Source organism: Homo sapiens, chromosome X (assembly GCF_000001405.40).
Source record: "Homo sapiens chromosome X, GRCh38.p14 Primary Assembly".
In the NCBI taxonomy this organism is placed as follows: domain Eukaryota; kingdom Metazoa; phylum Chordata; class Mammalia; order Primates; family Hominidae; genus Homo; species Homo sapiens.
Genome location: NC_000023.11, coordinates 124396710 through 124412003, shown reverse-complemented (window position 1 = coordinate 124412003; position 15294 = coordinate 124396710). Strand labels below are relative to the sequence as shown.

Genomic DNA, 15294 nt, shown 5'->3' with positions numbered 1-15294 from the left:
TGCTGTGCCCTGCATGCAAAGAGGGTGGGTTTGCTCCCATGCTGTGGCCTGAAGGGATTCGTTGGAGCATATCGGCTTGTATCTCTGCACCAAAGGATGGAGGCACCGAAGGGAAACACACAGCAGAAGAGATTTTGATTAAACTTGTTTCTTCGACACTCAGTCTGGAAAGATGCATTCCCCTGTGATGACAGAAAAAACTCAAGTAAGCTATAAGAAATCAAAATCTCGCTCTATTTCTTATCCACTTTGAGCAATCTTTCCAAAGTTGTAGGAATTACCCGCTGATGTGTACATCTGCCTGTTGTTCTTCCTTTGGAAATGACCCAACAGAAGAGAGGTGGGATCTGTATGTTTTGATCCAGGGCCATATTGAGCATCAGAGACACCACCCTGCAGATACCATTAAATGTGATTGCTTTAACTGTGAACTAGCAGAATTGGGGTATGTGAGTGTGTTGGAGTTGGGGTGCTTTGTTTATCATGGAGTTACAGTCAAATGTACACTTTCATTGGCCTCTCTGGCCACAGAAAGGAAATGAGGCAATATAACTTTCCAGCTACCCAACAACTGGACAGACCCATGGGAAATATCTTATTCCCAACACCATTGCCTCCTTCACCAGAAAACACACACACACGTGCGTGCACACACACACACACACATACACACACACAAACACACACATATACACCAAGCAGTCTCCCAGCTAAATCTATCTGGGTAATTACAGTCTTATCTAGGAATCTTTAGCTTGCCTCTCTGAATATACCACCGTCAATATGGGGAGGAGGGATGGGTACAAAATATGTAGGAATATGCCTGTGCTCTTGGAAATAAGCTTTGAAATGTTTATCAGACAAAGACCACCAATAACTTAGCTGAAAAGGTGTTTGGGTGGGTGGACTAGGAAACCAGATTTAGCCACAGGTCACTGCAAAGGTTCATTGGGAATTTTGACCCTTGTACCCCTATGCATGGATGGCCCAGTTGGTATCTGATCTTGTCATCTTGCTCTGATGAGTGGATATAACCACTGCTCATATCTTTACATGAGATCTTCCCTTAAAACAAGGGGCTGTGTGACTGAAGGAAACTGCCCCCAAGCTGGAAAGTCCATGTGGAACCTGCATCCACAGCATCTAAGTTCAGCTTTCCTGGAGGAATGATAGAGTGAGCTTGTCAAGGGTTGAGGAATCCCTTTAGAAATCAGGAAAGGCCAGTGATGATGAACATTTTTTCATGTGTCTTTTGGCTGCATAAATGTCTTCTTTTGAGAAGTGTCTGTTCATATCCTTTGCCCACTTGTTGATAGGGTTGTTTTTTTCTTGTAAATTTGTTGGGGTTCGTTGTAGATTCTGGATATTAGCCCTTTGTCAGATGAGTAGATTGCAAAAATTTTCTCCCGTTCTGTAGGTTGCCTGTTCACTCTGATGGTAGTTTCTTTTGCTGTGCAGAAGCTCTTGAGTTTAATTAGATTCCATTTCTCAATTTTGGCTTTCGTTGCCATTGCTTTTGGTGTTTTAGACATGAAGTCCTTGCTCATGCCTATGTCCTGAATGGTAATGCCTAGGTTTTCTTCTAGGGTTTTTTATGGTTTTAGGTCTAACATTTAAGTCTTTAATCCATCTTGAATTAGTTTTTGTGTAAGATGTAAGGAAGGGATCCAGTTTCAGCTTTCTACATATGGCTGGCCAGTTTTCCCATCACCATTTATTAAATAGGGAATCCTTTCCCCATTTCTTGTTTTTGTCAGGTTTGTCAAAGATCAGATAGTTGTAGATATGCAGCATTATTTCTGAGGGCTCTGTTCTGTTCCATTGGTCAATATCTCTGTTTTGGTACCAGTACCATGCTGTTTTGGTTACTGTAGCCTTGTAGTATAGTTTGAAGTCAGGTAGCATGATGCCTCCAGCTTTGTTCTTTTGGCTTAGGATTGACTTGGCGATGTGGGCTCTTTTTTGGTTCCACATGAACTTTAAAGTAGTTTTTTCCAATTCTGTGAAGAAAGTCATTGGTAGCTTGATGGGGATGGCATTGAATCTATAAATTACCTTGGGCAGTATGGCCATTTTCACGATATTGATTCTTCCTACCCATGAGCGTGGAATGTTCTTCCATTTGTTTGTATCCTCTTTTATTTCATTGAGCAGTGGTTTGTAGTTCTCCTTGAAGAGTTCCTTCACGTCCCTTGTAAGTTGGATTCCTAGGTATTTTATTCTCTTTGAAGCAATTGTGAATGGGAGTTCACTCATGATTTGGCTCTCTGTTTGTCTGTTATTGGTGTATAAGAATGCTTGTGATTTTTGCACATTGATTTTGTATCCTGAGACTTTGCTGAAGTTGCTTATCAGCTTAAGGAGATTTTGGGCTGAGACAATGGGGTTTTCTAGATATACAATCATCTGCAAACAGGGACAATTTGACTTCCTCTTTTTCTAATTGAATACCCTTTATTTCCTTCTCCTGCCTGATTGCCCTGGCCAGAACTTCCAACACTATGTTGAATAGGAGTGGTGAGAGAGGGCATCCCTGTCTTGTGCCAGTTTTCAAAGGGAATGCTTCCAGTTTTTGCCCATTCAGTATGATATTGGCTGTGGGTTTGTCATAGATAGCTCTTATTATTTTGAGATACGTCCCATCAATACCTAATTTATTGAGAGTTTTTAGCATGAAGGGTTGTTGAATTTGGAGAAATAGGAACACTTTTACACTGGTGGTGGGACTGTAAACTAGTTCAACCATTGTGGAAGTCAGTGTGGCAATTCCTCAGGGATCTAGAACTAGAAATACCATTTGACCCAGCCATCCCATTACTGGGTATATACCCGAAGGAATATAAATCATGCTGCTATAAAGACACATGCACACGTATGTTTATTGCGGCACTATTCACAATAGCAAAGACTTGGAACCAACCCAAATGTCCAATAATGATAGACTGGATTAAGAAAATATGGCACATATACACCATGGAATACTATGCAGCCATAAAAAACGATGAGTTCATGTCCTTTGTAGGGACATGGATGAAGCTGTAAACCACCATTCTCAGCAAACTATCACAAGGACAAAAAACCAAACACTGCATGTTCTCACTCATAGGTGGGAATTGAACAATGAGAACACATGGACACAGGAAGGGGAACATCACACTCTGGGGCCTGTTGTGGGGTGGGGGGAGGGGGGAGGGATAGCATTAGGAGATACACCTAATGTTAAATGACGAGTTAACGGGTGCAGCACACCAACATGGCACATGTATACATATGTAACTAACCTGCACATTGTGCACATGTACCCTAAAATTTAAAGTATAATAATAAAAAAAAAGTTTTACTATTGTAAAAAAGAAAGAAAGAAAGAAAGAAATCAGGAAAGGGAAACCAATGAGGCAAAGTTGCTGGTGCCTCATGTGGAACAGAGAGGAAGTGCCTGCATAATCCAGGTTGTTGGGGCCACAGTTCCCCTGATAAGAAAGGCATGCAGCAGCTTCCTTCGGTCTACTGCCTGCAAACTCCTGCCTCCTCTACCTTGGGAGAATAATGGCTGGACAGTGGGCCGGGCGTGGTGGCTCACGCCTGTAATACCAGCACTTTGGGAGGCTGAGGCAGGGGGAATCACATGAGGCCAGGAGTTGGATACCAGTCTGGCCAACATGGCGAAAACACATCTCTACTAAAAATACAAAAATTAGCCAGATGTAGTGGTACTCGTTTGTAATCCCAGCTACTCAGGGAGGCTAGGACACGAGAATTGCTTGAACCCGGGAGGTGGAGGTTGCAGTGAGCCGAGATCACACCACTGCACTCCAGCCTGGGTGACAGAGCAAGACTGTCTCAAAAAAATTAATTAATTTTTTTTAAAAAAGGCTGGATATTATTGTTTTTCTCCCCTGGATGGAAGACCAAACAGACAAGGTTGGGGCTAAAGTGGGTATTCGAGCCTTCCTATGCTCCGTTCTTCTGCTTCTTGTAGCTATAGAGCCCCACAGCAGGCAGAACGTGGGCAGTCTTTGCAGAGGGAAGGATTTTGCCATTAACCCCAGGAAGAAACAGCACTCTTCAGTCTTTCTTTGATAACGCGTCCTTAGCTGCATAATAGCACTGTGCCAACCATTTCGACTGAAATCCATTTAAACAAAGGAGACACCCAATTTAACATCTAAGGCTAGGCATATCTGTGATGTCAATAACCTATTTGATTCATTCTATTCACATATGTGACTGTTTTAACTGATAATATATATGTGTGTGTGCACACACGCACGTGTATATGCAGAACTGAACTTTAGGTGGCATTATGTATAGGCTCAAGTTCAAGTCTGTCCTATAAAGTACAGTCCAACTGCTTTTCCCAAGCCTTCCAAAGGCTGGTATAGTTATTAAAATTTGAGCAACTACCCAGGCTGAGTTTTTTAGAATATAATGGATTGATACTGAATTACTATGCCACTTTGTGTAATCGTTGGGGGAGGGAGTAGTACAGCCAGTCTCTACCATTGTGTCCAGGCTGAATCCTGCTCATTTTGGGTAAAAAGAATATAATTGTTTAACATTTTAAAAGGCAAATAAAAGTGCTTAAATATTTTGTAATTTGCAACTTGAAAAGAAAACAGTAATGGGTTTCCAAGTACATGTGTTTACTTTTAATGAAGTGTTTATTTTTCATGGTTCTATTGGCAATAAAAGAACAGCTCCACATCAAAAGCCTTCAGGGAAGCAGTTTTCATTTGGAGGACAGTGAGATTGCCAATAATTCTGATTTTTTTTTTTTTTTTTTTGGAAAAAGTAAACTCCCTAGACTATATTTCTAGATATAGCTTATAGCCTATTATCCCAGGTAATTATTTTTTGTCTCTTACTCATATAGACAAATTACAAAACCTTATGTACTATACCCTAAAAAGATTTTTAAAATTTAAGTGACATCAAGATCAGAGGGCTCCAGAATGTTTTAATGAACATGTTTCCATTATCCTCTGTGCCTGTTCATTTTGTTGGAAGAATGATTCATTCATTTCAAATTTGGCAACTTAAACAGCAGCAAATTATAATTTTCCCATCATAACCCAAAGTCAGTATATTGGCTTCTCAGCCTTTGAGGGCCCTTTTGTACCTTCTTTTGCTTTGACAACAGCACCCTCTGCTGGGTTTTGTAATCCATCACCTCTAATGGGATCGACCCAAATCGCAAACGGAGGCCTCCCTGCAACGTTGCACACAGCAGGACATGATTCATAAATCAGTGTTCCACCCTGGTGATTCATTACCAGATATATTTTTTCTGTAAAACAGCACAGCTCAAGGAAGTTATCAAGAATTCAGAAGCTGCAAAAAATACCTTCGTTTGATTAATCATCTCTCTGACCTTTTTCTTCTTCTTGAACAAGGTTAATAATACTTGTTATCACTCAAAGTTAAACTGTATTAGCTGCCAAGTGATTTTTATTTTGCAAAGTCCTGTTATCACTGCCGAGACGCTTCAAAGCTGGGATTGGTTACATTCCTCAGGTATGACCCCGAGGGACACCTGACCAATGCAACGTTTCCCACTGGAGAGGTCAGCAGCTTCCACAGTGACCTGGAGAAGCTGACAAAAGTGGAGCTAGATACTTCCAACCGTGAAAATGTCCTCATGTCAACCAACTTGACGGCAACTAGTACCATATATATTTTAAAACAAGGTAAGATTGTTTCCAACGATATCTGACTGTAACAGCCCCTATGTCAACATCCACCTTGAAACCTGCGTACACCATTCATAAACAGAATTCACCTCTAGCTGAGAAGATGTACTCTTCCTGTTTTCCAGCTATGGAAGTTGAAACACAGACAAAATTCACACCTTTTACAAGTTCTCACATCAACTTTGGGCCCATCTCTGTGGGAGTCATGAGGTTCAATCCCTGCCAAGTCTGCTCTGCTATCAACTTATTTCCCAATACCCAGCTGTTTGCAAAGGTCTTTCAGGGTCTGGCTAGGTTATATTAAATAAATGGAGCCTGGGCTCCAGCTGAGCTTGGCATTCTAGATCAATGCCAACATGGGTGAAGAAAAAGGAAAATCTTAGGATACAGACCAAGCAAGAATATAAGTGAAATGAGAGAATTAAAAACTCATTATATTTGAAGACAGAAAAGTAAGGAAGAACAGAAGAAGAAAGGAAGGAAGGGAGATAGGATTTGGAATGTCTTAGAAGCTAGAGGACAAGTGCACAAAGAGAAATTGCTTTCTCTCTGCCCTGTCATTAAGACCTCATTCTGTTGTTAGGTGGTGACACCAGACACTCTAAGAGTACACTAACTTTTGTTAGTGGTATTTTGTGGAGTACGGCAACTGTGATGGTGGGCCCAGGTGGTAAGGTGCTACGTTGAACTTCACACTCTTCTCATTCTAGCTCCCAGCATATCAAACTGAGGAGGCTGATCCAACAAGTCAGTGAGGGAGGGAATTCTTTAAAAATGAAAAAAGAAAAAAACAAAAACAGCCTGCAGTGTTAGACAAGAGTCTTTTATCCAAGAAACAGATACTCCAGCTGTGAAAATAACAAGACCCAAATGGATAGGGAACACGTTTGCCTGTCAGAGCGGTAGTCTAGCCCAGAAGGCAGATAGGACCACAGCACCCCACCTGCTTATCCCCCAAACGTGCCTCCTAAAACTAAACCTGTCTCTTTTCTGCTTCCTGCTCTTCCCTTCCTTCCCCCTCTTCCTCCTTTGCTCTTCTGTCTACAGAAAATACTCAAAGTACCTATCGGGTGAATCCAGATGGTTCCCTGCGTGTCACTTTTGCCAGCGGGATGGAGATCGGCCTCAGCTCAGAGCCCCACATCCTGGCAGGGGCAGTCAACCCTACCCTGGGCAAATGCAACATCTCATTGCCCGGAGAGCACAATGCAAACCTCATCGAGTGGCGGCAGAGGAAGGAGCAAAACAAAGGCAATGTTTCGGCTTTTGAAAGGAGGCTGAGGGTAAGGCTTGACTTTACACAAGATATAGAACTTTTATAGGTGTTTTGTTTGTTTGTTTGTTTGTTTGTTTGTTTGTTTAACTGCAGAGCCTCCCTAAACTGAAGTCCCATTTCTCCAAAGCTTTTCTAAGTGACTGACTGGCTTATATGATATACTAATTCAAAAGAGGATGCTAATGGCCGATAATGGTTCAGTATCCTTAAATGAGCATTCTAATAGGAGCTTTCTTTGTCATTAGCCAGCTAAAGTGCTCTAATAGTAGCAATTTCACCAAGAAAGTCTGGCTGGAGAAATGTGTTTAGTCAAAGGAGGCCCTCCAGCACCCCTCCCAGCATGCCCTGGAGATGTCTATCAGGTTCACTGAGTTGACCGAGGTCCCTGCTTTCCAGGTAGCTCTTTGGAAAGACCTCGCAGGTACACACAAAAGGATGTGAGACAAAAGGCAACATTTGGGCAAAGACAAGAGGAAAAATCAGTGAATTATAGCATTGCCATGAATACATATCCAGGGCCAGAGGGATAAAGGACTGGTACTGAGATTGGGCTGAGGTACTCAGAGCTGCCTGGAGGAAGTTATAGATTAGGGAGTTTTAAAGTCCTTACCAAGCACAGTTCACCAGAGTTAACCAGGAGACCTCGGTCAGCTTTTCTGCAGCACACAAAGCCTACAATCGCCATAGCACTCTGTCTACCTGCCTCCTCTTGAACGTTAACCAGTGTTAGGATGATGTGGCCAGCTTTCTACATGTAGTAACATTCAATATCAGCCCTAGAGCAACTGCCAGCCTGCGGGAAATAATCACTCACTATTGAGGCCAGATCTGCTTTGAGCACCTGTGTCACGCCTGATATACCGGGAAGGTTTCTGTTATATATAAAGTTTCGGTGCCGCAAAAGGAATAGCACTCGAATATAAAATTTTCTTTTTAATTATCAGTAAGGCAAGTTACTTCTATAGAAGGGTGCGCCCTTACAGATGGAGCAATGGTGAGTGCACACTTGGACAAGGGAGGGGAAGGGGCTCTTATCCCTGACGCACGTGTTGCTGTGTCGTTCCCCTATTGGCTAGGGTTAGACCGCACAGACTAAACTAATTCCGATTGGCTAATTTAAAGAGAATGACGGGGTGAGTGTTTTGGCGGGAGTCAGGGCAGAGCAGGTAGCAGGTAATCTGAATGAGTTAGGGTAGAGCAGGTGATCCGAATGATTTAGGGTGGAGCAGGTAATCGGAATGAGTCAGGGTGGAGTAGGTAATTGAAAAAGGTTGCTTTACGAGGAAGTTAAGTTTAAAAGTAGAAGGCAAAGAATTGAACATACTGACATATTAATTATTTGAAAAGAAATGTAGAACTCATATCAAAAATTTGGTAACCTTAAGGTTGTGGAAGTGCAACCCCCAAACAACCACCCAATTCCAGAGAGAGGCAGTCAAACCGGTCATATGGCTTGATATGAACAAAATAATCTACAGCAGTGCTCACTTTTCTTTTTTTTTTCTTTTTTTTTTTTTGAGACAAGAGTCTTGCTCTGTCGCCCAGGCTGGAGTGCAGTGGTGCGATCTCGGCTCACTGCAAGCTCTGCCTCCCGGGTTCACGCCATTCTCCTGCCTCAGCCTCCCAAGTAGCTGGGACTACAGGTGCCCGCCACCACACCCGGCTACTTTTTTGTATTTTTAGTAGAGACGGGATTTCACCGTGTTCGCCAGGATGGTCTTGATCTCCTGACCTCGTGATCCACCTGCCTCGGCCTCCCAAAGTGCTGGGATTACAGGCATGAGCCACCGTGCCCGGCCAGTGCTCACTTTTCAATCAGTTCTCTTGGTGACACACAGCCACAGACTTTAGTGGGTGGTTTTTTTGTTGTTGTTTGGTTTTGTTTGGGTTTTTTTTTTATAAAGCTACTGAAATTTGTATGTGCACAAGTCAATTTTTATGTTTCGATTCTATTGACAAGTTTCTGACAGAATATTTACCAGATATGCCACTGAATGGAGAAGTGAAACCAATCCAAATATCAAACCAATGTGTGGGTAGCAGTAAAGATTTCTATCGGAATTCTTTGAGAAATAGGACCTCCTGGGTAGAACCCTGGATGGGGAAGTTAGAGAACCTGGCCTTGATACCCTATTTTACAAACGCTTTAAGAAATGCCTTGATTTTTTTTTTTCACCTGTAAAATAAAAGTGTACTACTAGAGAAAGTAAGAATTATCTACATATGGCTTATCGACCTCATGGACTCATCACAGAAAAATTGTATTGAAGACATGATTTCTTAGTACCTCTCCCAGCATATAGCCTCAAAAAAACTTTCTGAACCAAATCATATACTATGTGACTTTGGGATTTTTCATTCTTTAGGATAACTCATCCTATATTATGTGACCTTGGAAGTTTCCATTTTCTAGAACAACCCATCCTGTTTTCTGTCCTCCATATGCACAGATAATGGAGAGAAACTATAAACTGTAATTTACACCCCATATCCCAAATTGTTCTTAGTGCTGAGAAGCTAATTGTCATAAAACATTTGGGAGCTCATTAGTGTTAAGAAGTAAAGTGTTTAGTTAGTACTAATTATAATGTGACCCATTTCCGATCCTGTGGCAGAGTTGAGCAGATTTGCGGACTGGACTATAAGGGCAACAAATTCAAGGCCCTCTTCTCTATATCACTTCTAGGCTACTCCCTGAGGTCCTGTGACTGAAAAATGAGGCCCCTTATTGGCCAGGTGGTGTTACCATGGCATGCCCCAGAAGTCTAATAACAATAACAATCATTTACATATGTTTAGTGCCTCAGAGTGAACAAAATGGTTTCATAGCCAGGATTTTATTTGATCACCACAGCTGTCAATTGTTACTTTCAATTTACAGATAAGGAGACCAAGGCCCAGGTAGGTTAAGTGATTTGCCCAAAGTCAACCAGCTATTAAGGATCAGAGCCAGAGCTAAAATGCAGGTCCTCACCTAGCATGGCACTCTTTCTACTGCATCACACTGTGCTGCCTTGTTCCTTAAAATAATTAATCTATAAATCATTGCCCCACTCAGTGGAGCTACCTTGGCAGGGCCTGACTCCTCATTTCAATGCTGACAAAAAGGGACAAATAATCGACTCTAATGTACTGGCAAGTGTGGGAGGCACAGGACAACTGGCTGGCTTCCAGGCAGGAAAAGCATGAAGCAGGCAAAAAGAGGAAGGAGGCTGCTTAACTGGTTAATTTTTACCCGATCTCCCTATTCCTAGTGATTTTTTTTATGCTGATGCCTCAATTTCCCCAGATTTGGCATTTCCAATTTAATGAAATGAGTATGCTCCCAAAAGGGACATGTGAATCCAATTTTGACAAAGCAAATTCTCTTCCCCCACTGACGTTATTATTTCCGAGATGGCGTCCCTTCATTTCTGGTAGCTTTCAAGGGACAAGCTGATGCCAATTTTCTCTCTTCCTGGACCAAAATATGCAATGACCCATTTGTAAGCATCCAAAGAATAAGCTTCTCTGATGCTCTCAAGTTCCTCAATACCTTGGACTGAATCATTTATTTCTTCTAGTGAAGCTGTCATTTCAGACTGAGGGCAGGTGGAGCTATCAGAGCTGTTGAGACAGAATTTCCAAGTCATACAACATAGAAACCCCTTCTGTACTGTGGGAAATGGGGCTCCCTTTTGAAAACCCACACAAAAGTGTGGTTGTAATTTGCAAGTGTGCAGGCCATAAAGCACTAATTGTTCAAGGACAAAATGACAGGTTCATTTAAAGGCCCATTTGGTAAGATGATAGACGTCAAATGTTCCCAAAAGCTGCCGATCACACCTCCCCCAGACCTTTTAGCTGGAAAGAAAAAAAAATCAGAAAAGGATAGACCTATCTTTGGAGAATAATCAGTGATTTTTTTTCATGCAACGTCAGGATCCTTTTTAAGGTGAGGGAGGCAAACTTTTGGGAAACATGATACCCTGCTCAGCCTGAGCAGGCAAGGGATTTGTTACCTCTGAGCCATCCTTCACCAGCTCCATTAAGTGAAATAAGTCACATTAACATCCTGAAATTTCATTTATTTAAAAAATCCATTTCCCTCCAACCTGAGTTGTGTTTGACTCATCTTCCTTCCTTGCAAGGCACTTTTGCATCTAGTCCATGTATCTGCTTATCTGCTGCATCAATCTGTCCCCATAAATACATTTCCCTGGACAATAGAGAAATTAGAGTGCAGATAACAATAGAGGCAATTGTAAAAAGAATTGGGCATTTACCAAAAGCATACTGGTTTAGGAACTACATCCAGTTTGTACCTTGCTATGTCCATGGATAACAATGCTGTCATATGAGATGTATCCCAGCTTTGGATCCCAGAGCTGTTTATAAGATTTTGTAGACTGAGTTGTAAGGTTATAGCAAAATCCCTGAACTGCAGCCTCCTTTATTAAAAGAAAAACAATGGAGGGGGCTTAGCACTTTATGACCAAAATTATAAAATCAGGTAGGATTATTATGTGTTTACAAATGAAATGAAGCAAGGACTTATCTAAAACTCTCCCAATTTACTTTTTTCCTCTACTCAAACATAACTGAGAATAGGGTAGGTTGGTTTTTAAATGAAACGTGAGTGTTCAGATGTGAGCTGAGAAGGAGAAACAAGCTCGGTTGAACACAGGGTCTCAGGCTGACAAATGATGGGGAATTGGTGGGGGCAGCCAAGAGGGCTCTGGCCTTTCCCTCTATTCTGAGAAATTGCCTTGGTCCTCAGCTACAGGGTGCTCAGAGTTGGATTTTCATTCACTTGACACTATTTTAACTTCCTTCTCCTCAGGTTTGGTGGAAGCATTTATTTTGTGAAAATTTAGATAAGGAGCCTGACTGGAGATATATTAATCAGATTAATCTATTTAAAAATATATCTGCAGTTTTCAGTCAAGTAACAGTGCTTTTCCCCCTAAGGAGCCCCCTGGAGACAGGAGATTTCCTATATCAAGGCTACTGGGCAGTATTGATTTTTGGGGTCCAGGAATTCTTGGGGCTTCCAAATCATAGAACCTGCTATATTTGGTTGTGTTTTTGTTTTTTTGTTTTTTGTCTCCCAGAGTGGAATGCAGTGGCACGATCTTGGCTCACTGCAGCCTCTAACTCCCGGGCTCAAGCGAATCTCCCACCTCAGTCTCCTGAGTAGCTGGGACTACAGGCGCATGCCACCGTGCTCGGCTAATTTTTGTTTTTGTTTCTTTGTAAAGACAGGGTCTTGCCATGTTGCCCAGGCTGGTCTTGAACTCCTGGACTCAAGCCATCCGCCCACCTCAGCCTCCTAAAGTGCTGGGACTTCAGGCACGAGTCACCGTGCCTAGCCTATTTTTGTTAATCTTGGATCAACCTCACTAAGATAACTAGAAAGAAAGAATTATTTCATATACCATTTCACCTGTATATGAGCATTAATGATTTGGTATAAAAAAATTTTAAATATCTGTTGTATGGTTACACAGATGAATTGGTCAACAGCAAAGTACTTAAGCAAGGGCAAATTAGCATAGTGCAAAAAATGTCCAAGGTAAATAATATAGCCAAAGTTGGGTGAGAAAAATGAGTATGATTTTGAGGAAGAACTGGTATGCCCATAATTTTGCACTTTTCTCATCTATAAAAAGAGGGACATGGATGGTGCAATATATTATTAGTGGTAGTATTAACCATAACAGCAGCAATTAGCATTCCTTGAAGCCTTACCATGTATACTGCCACATATTAACTCATTTACTATTTATAACACCTTACCAGATGGGTTTATCATTATCATTCCCATTTTACAGATGAAGAAACTGAGGCACAGAGAGGTCACACAGCTAGTAAGCAGTGATCACAGGATTTGAATTCAGGCAGTCTGGCTCAAAAGCCCATTTCCTAAGATCCCCTCTGTTGATAAGGTTCTATATGCTGGCAAAGTAAAGGGAGTGTCTTGGGAGTAAAAAACATTATATTATTGAATCAAATTCTTCAAAAGAATTAGAAACAACTAGTTGTATGTGATTGTAAATTACAGTGGGTAGTCGGATAAGAGTGAACAGAAGGGTTCCTTCTAACTCAAGCAGTTTTGTGTCAAAGGTTATTATGATGTCATGTAAACTTTTCTAGAAATCTATCACTATGTAAACAAATGATTGAAAATCCTGCATGGGGGACAAAACAGTTGGTGGGGATGTTAAATTGACGTAAAGGGAAATGAGAAGTTTTGGGGGTGATGGAAATGCTATCACGATTGTGGTAGTGGTTACCTGATTCAATGACTGTCAAAACTCATTAAATTGTACGCTTAAAATTGGTGACTCCTACTGTGTGTAAACTATCCAAATAAAGTTGATTTTAAAATAATAAAGCACATATACACCAAAAAATAAAAAAAAAGAAAAAAAGAAAATCCTGCATAAATGTCATACAATGATTCTTGTTAAATATGAAATAATTTTTAAAGAATAAAATGTCTAGAGAAATTATACATTTATTCCATCTATTTTAAAAGTAAGTTTAGTTCTCTTTCAAAAAGAAAGAAAAAAATGGGAATTCCAGGTGAAATATTAGAGGCTGATGCTAGTACTGAACATATGCCCTGTTCATTGGTAGGCATCTCTGTGAAATAAAAGTAGGCTTAAGTAAGCTTTTGATTGTCTACCAAGAGATACCAATAAAAAAAAAAATCTGTGGAATTAATGTAGTGATTGATTTCTAAAAATCAAATACTAATTACCTTAAAACTAGTGAGAGTAAAGTAGCATGTGGTACTTTTTAAGATCAACTGTGACTTTTTTTTTTTTTTAAGAGTCTTGCTCTGTCGCCCAGGCTGGAGGGCAGTGGCGCGATCTTGGCCCACTGCAAGCTCCGTCTCCTCTGTTCGAGCAGTTCTCCTTCCTCAGCCTTCCGAGTAGCTGGGATTACAGGCGCCTGCCACCACGCCCGGCTAATTTTTTGTATTTTTAATAGAGATGGGGTTTCACCGCATTAGCCAGGATGGTCTCTATCTCCTGACCTTGTGATCCGCCCGCCTGGGCCTCCCAAAGTGCTGGGATTACAGACGTGAGCCACCGCGCCCAGCCCCAACTGTGACTTTTCTATCCATTCTCACAACTTCATAAAAATTAAATGCAGGAGGCCGGGCACGGTGGCTCACACCTGTAATCCCAGGACTTTGGGAGGCTGAGGCGGGTGGATCACTGGGTCACTTCAAGACCAGGCTGGCCAACATGGTGAAACCCCGTCTCTACTAAAAATACAAAAATTAACCGGGCATGGTGGCGGGTGCCTATAATCCCAGCTACTCAGGAGGCTGAGGCAGGAGAATCCCTTGAACCCGGGAGGTGGAGGTTGTGGTGAGCCAAGATCATGCCATTGCACTCCAGCCTGGGCGACAGAGCGAGACTCTGTCTCAAAAACAAAAACAAAAACAAAAAAATTAAATGCAGGATCTTCCAAACTCTGACGTGGCTATTTGGCCCATCTCACTTATTTACCTTCCAACTTCTTCAGCAAAAATTAAACAAGTAACACAGTTGTCTAGTGACAGTGTTCTTGAAAATTCAGCCTTCTCCTCCTTAAGGAGGGGAGAAAATCAACTGCAGTGATCATAGCTCAGAGTTCAGCACATTCACAGGCGTGGGTGTGCAAGTGTGTAGTTGGTTGAACCATAGCAAATTGCCCTTTGTGTAGGTCAAAAACAGCTAAATATCACCAATTGCCTTTAGATCAACGTAGTACAATGTTATTTTTCTAACTGAACGACTTTCAAATCAGAAGGGTTGAAAGGATTTTCTCTTGAACAATTAGAACACAAAGTCCTCAGAAAGAGCAGGAAAGGGCTTTGCTTTTCCCCATATACCCTCTTTTTACAGGCCTTTTCATTTCTGCCAGCAACACTATTCGTGGCTCTCCAGAGCACACTCTTCCCTCTTTCCTCTCTGGTCCTAGTATGAACAACAATCAGGCCTGTCTCCTAGTATAGCTGAAAAAAACATAAGGGAAACCGAAGGATGCATTACAGCGTAGATCCATCTTCCCTTATTAAAAACCTATTACCAAACAGTTTTCTTACCACACCACACAGCCTGTCAGTTGCCAAACTCAAAGGTTTTATTCAATGCACAGCTATCCAAAGATACCCTTTTTAACTTGGAGCTATTCCCAAATTTCAATCCTTTTTTCCCCCCCTTCTCTTTTCCAGGGAAAGGATTAGTGTAGATTGAATACTGAAACAAGAGTGGAAATAAAGATTGATGGTCCACACTTAGGTCAAGGGCTATCATCTTTCAGGAAAGCAAGCACTTGTATGAATGTGGA

The 15294-nt window shown here is 41.5% G+C and overlaps 1 protein-coding gene across 15 annotated transcripts in view, besides 1 other annotated feature; it reads left to right on the top strand.

Annotated features, from left to right (window-relative positions):
- Positions 1 to 15294, top strand: part of TENM1 (teneurin transmembrane protein 1) — an 828410-nt gene that overhangs the window by 792309 nt on the left and 20807 nt on the right. For all 15 annotated transcript variants that reach the window (XM_017029210.3, XM_017029211.3, XM_047441760.1 and 12 more), the window contains 2 exons: positions 5515 to 5687; positions 6738 to 6973. In XM_017029210.3, coding sequence (XP_016884699.1) covers positions 5515 to 5687; positions 6738 to 6973 — 409 coding nt within the window. The remainder of the gene's footprint in view (positions 1 to 5514; positions 5688 to 6737; positions 6974 to 15294) is intronic.
- Positions 4791 to 5990: an enhancer, noted in NCBI's record as "CDK7 strongly-dependent group 2 enhancer chrX:123539864-123541063 (GRCh37/hg19 assembly coordinates)". NCBI's record gives its function as "activates an origin of replication core promoter dependent on BRD2, BRD4, P300/CBP, MED14 and CDK7 cofactors, with strong dependence on CDK7, by STARR-seq in HCT116 cells {active_cell/tissue: HCT116}" and the evidence as "EXISTENCE:reporter gene assay evidence [ECO:0000049][PMID:35650434]".